The sequence below is a fragment of the Homo sapiens genome, chromosome 14 (genome assembly GCF_000001405.40).
Source record: "Homo sapiens chromosome 14, GRCh38.p14 Primary Assembly".
Lineage (NCBI taxonomy): Eukaryota > Metazoa > Chordata > Mammalia > Primates > Hominidae > Homo > Homo sapiens.
The window spans coordinates 66423755-66427574 of NC_000014.9; the positions used below are offsets into that span (position 1 = coordinate 66423755).

The following is a 3820-nucleotide window of genomic DNA, read 5'->3' on the forward strand; positions in this document are numbered from 1 at the left end:
TTTATTTGCTATTTCCTTAGCCTGAAATAATCTTTCCCTAGATACCCATCACTTCCTTCACAGCTCTACTCAAAAGTCACCTTATCACAGAGGCCTTTCCTGACTACCCTATAACATCCTTCTTCCCCTTCTCCCACTCCGTAATTCCCATCCCTACTATTCTGCTGAATTTTCTCCTTGGCAATTTCATGTCAAGATAGAAGTTTGTTTTTTTACTATCTATTTCCCCGACTAGAATGTAAGCTTTGCCTGAACAGGGATTTGGTCTGTTTTGTCACTGCTATAAGTCTATACCTAGACCCATGCCTAGCCCCTGGCAAGCATTCAACAAATATTTTTGTGTACATAAATAATTGGAACTGTATACTGAATACATTAATCTTTCAGCTGAAGGGTTATAAAAGATTCACATGCTTAAGTATCAGAAAACCAAGGTTCATTCATCCCTCTGTTCATTCAACAAATACATATTAAACATATACAACGGGCCAAGTGTTTTCCTAAGCACTATACAGTGGAGTATGTAGAGTAGAAAAGAGAGGAGTCCCGTCTCTAATATTTACCAGCTGTGTTGTCTCTGGCAAACAAACAGCTTCTCTAAATTTTGCATTGATCAGCAACATTAGATCAAGAAAACTATCCACCTTGTGGGGTTATTGAGAAGAACAAATAACATAGTGTTTTTACCTGAATGTGATTTGTAAACATTCAAGTGCTACACAAATGTAAATTATTACTGATTCTCATAACAACCTTATATGGCAAACAAGGCAGTATTTTTGCAATAGTCTCATTTTTTATTTTTTTAAAAAACAACAACTCAGAAAGGATGAATGATTTGTCCCCCAGTCATACAGTTAGTAAGTAGCAGAGCCAGAGCTGCATCTCAGGTCTTTGGGCCAACATCCTAGCCCTATTTCCATGGCACACATTCTTTAAATAGTTCAATTTATATTTTATGAATTAATGAAATTATGCTTATGGAACCCTTTTAACATCTTTGGCAAAAGATCCAGAGAAGTATTTGCATTTGTTTCACAGGGCTGCCGTAACTAAGTACCACAAACTGGGTGGCATAAAAACAGAAATTTATTCTCTCACGGTCTGATATCAAGGTGTCAGCAGGACCATGCTCCCTCTGAAAGTTCTAGGGAAGAATGGTTCTTCGCTTACTTCTAGCTTCTGGTGTTTGCCCACAGTCCTTGGCATTCCTTTGCTTATACATGAACCACTCTAATATCCACCTCCATCATCACATGGTGTTCTCCCTGTGTCTGCGTGTTTGTGTGTAAATTACCTCTCTTTCAGGAAACCAGCTATCGTATTAGGGCCCACTCTACTCCAGTATGACCTCATCATAGCTTGATTACATATGCAAAGACCCTATTTCCAAATTAAGGTCACTTTCACAAGTACAGGGGTTTAAGACTTAAACATCTCTTTTGGGGGAATACAATTCAACTCACAACAGTATCTCAAAGGTCTAAAAACATATCCCAAAGAACAAGCCAGAAGAAGAAGTTAACATTGTTGGAAAGTATGCATGTCCAAAGACAGTCCAGCTGCACATGGAACAGACATAAACCAGAGTTTCCCTTGCAACTGACAAACAAGTAAAAAGAGAATCAACCTAAAGCCATGGAATTGTCATTTTGGTGAAAAAGAGTTTGGCAAATGCCCTGATTTCCCTGAGAGGCAAATTGATTCATAAAGTAATCTACCTTAACCGGCATTATATAATCCCGCTAAAGGATGTGCAATGAAAGCAGTGATGCAAGCAGGGCAGAGCTCAGGGAGAAATCTTGCCCTACATTGTTATGCAGCACTACTGCGAAGCTGGCACACCTTTCTGCTTGCGCTGCCTCTAGCACCTCACCCAGCAACTAACCCAGTTTAGTCAGACCTTCCAACGTTAAGGGAGGTTCTATATTTAGACAATGTTCCCTGCCTGAGGATGAACTGTACTGGCTGCAGTGTCACACCTTAACATAGCACTGTTCCTAATCTTTGTTTGTTGGGGGAAACCAGCAGCCTTCTCTGGCACATGAACTTAGAGAGACCCCAGAAGCTCATCTAATTCAACTCCTTTTTACAGCATCCAAGTGCAGACTTTGGAGCCACTGCCTGGGTTTGAACCATAGTCCCAACACTTTCTAGCTCTGGGACTATGGTTCTTACCATAGGGTGTCTTTGGACTAGTTCCTCAACCTCTTCTTTGCCTCATTTTTCTCATCTCTAAAATGCAGACAATAGTACTATTTACATCAAAGGGCATTTGAAATGGTGAGTAGTCTATGTAAAGCACTAAATCAGTGCCTGGAACATAGTAAATTCAAAAGAAACTTTAGTCATTACTATTTTTATTGTTTCAGATGTGCACACTAAGGCTCAGAGACATGATATGAGCTGCCCAGGTTAACCAGCAATTTAATACACACTCAGACCTGGAATTGGTCTATTGGGGCACTACCCTCTTATTTGGTCTATAGTTAGTACACTTAGAGTAGCTCCTTTGAGATGGATAAGAAAGGTAGGAGTCATGCCTCACCAGTTCTATCGCTCTGGCTTTACTTTGTTTCCCAGACTGTATAATTGTCACTGTGAAATTTTGGGGATGGTCCTGGGAGGATGAGATAATAACAATAACAACAAGTTAGATTGGAGGGGTGTGAGACAAAAGGCAAGAAAACCACTTAGTGGCCATTACAATAGTCCAGCTGATAAACAATTAGATGAGAAGGGAAGAAAGATTGGGGAAATTAAGTTTATTTTAAACATCATAATAAACCAAGGTGGCTTATTACTAGCAAAAAGCGCAAGGCCAGCCAAAATATAAGTGCCTTACCTGATAAGAGCATGAAGGAGGACTGTAGGCATGCATGACTGGTTTGGTAAAAGCATGTGATTACTTCAACCGGTTAGAAGTTAGGAGTAATGTAGAACTGCTGAGATACCTAAGTGGAATCATGTGAGATTTCAGCAACTATATAAATCACATGAGGAATGTGAGGCAGGGGAGGGGGACTGTGGGAAGATTTACCCTTTCATCCTGCATCTATGCAAGAGGGTAGTAACAACTGAGGGTTGACAAACCCAAGAAAGCACCCTGATCTACACAGCACAGGAGAGACTTGTGTGGCACCAAATACTAGAAATATCTTGAGGAAAGGGACAGATGAATTTTCCTTAGGAAAAGGAAGGAAACTAATATTTTAAAAATATCTCTGTGCTCCAGGCATGTCAGCTCGTCTAATCAAATTCTTGGGCCCCATGCCAGACCTCAAATTATAAAGGAGTTTAAATGGGGGTGCCCCCACTTTATAAGGAAGAGGAAGTATTGATATAAACTGGTAGGTGATTGGATGTGGGGATAAAAGGAAATGAGTCCTTGAGGATGATGCCCCAACTTCTGATGAGCAGTTTGGAAGATAGAGGCATTTCCCAGCATTTGGAATTAACAAAAAGCATTCCACATTCACTTCTGATTCTTTTAAAATACCTGAAGAGACTAGTAATCACAATAGCAGATATTTACTGTTCATACCCACTTTCTTATTTAGTCCTCAAAACATCTCTAGTAGGTAAATTATTCTTGTGTTTATTTTACAGATAAAATAATCAAGATTCAGAGAGATCACAGAACTCTGGTTTCCTGACACCATATTATCAGCACTTCAAGTCTGTCAGGGTCATGGCAACAAGTCTTGAGGGGAAAGAGAACCAAATATGGCAGTAATCAAGGAAGCCACACCCAGAGGAGCTCTAGTCTAGAGTACAGTTGGGACCCTTGGCTTCAAAATGCCACATCCAACTGGTAGGA

General features: G+C 40.1%; 2 annotated features.

Annotated features, from left to right (window-relative positions):
* Positions 2225-2394: an enhancer, noted in NCBI's record as "experimental_35504 CRE fragment used in MPRA reporter constructs". NCBI's record gives its function as "activates a minimal promoter by MPRAs in K562 erythroleukemia cells, with activity observed for both the introgressed and non-introgressed 14:66892782 variant alleles {active_cell/tissue: K562}" and the evidence as "EXISTENCE:reporter gene assay evidence [ECO:0000049][PMID:34662402]".
* Positions 3034-3203: an enhancer, noted in NCBI's record as "experimental_35506 CRE fragment used in MPRA reporter constructs". NCBI's record gives its function as "activates a minimal promoter by MPRAs in K562 erythroleukemia cells, with activity observed for both the introgressed and non-introgressed 14:66893591 variant alleles {active_cell/tissue: K562}" and the evidence as "EXISTENCE:reporter gene assay evidence [ECO:0000049][PMID:34662402]".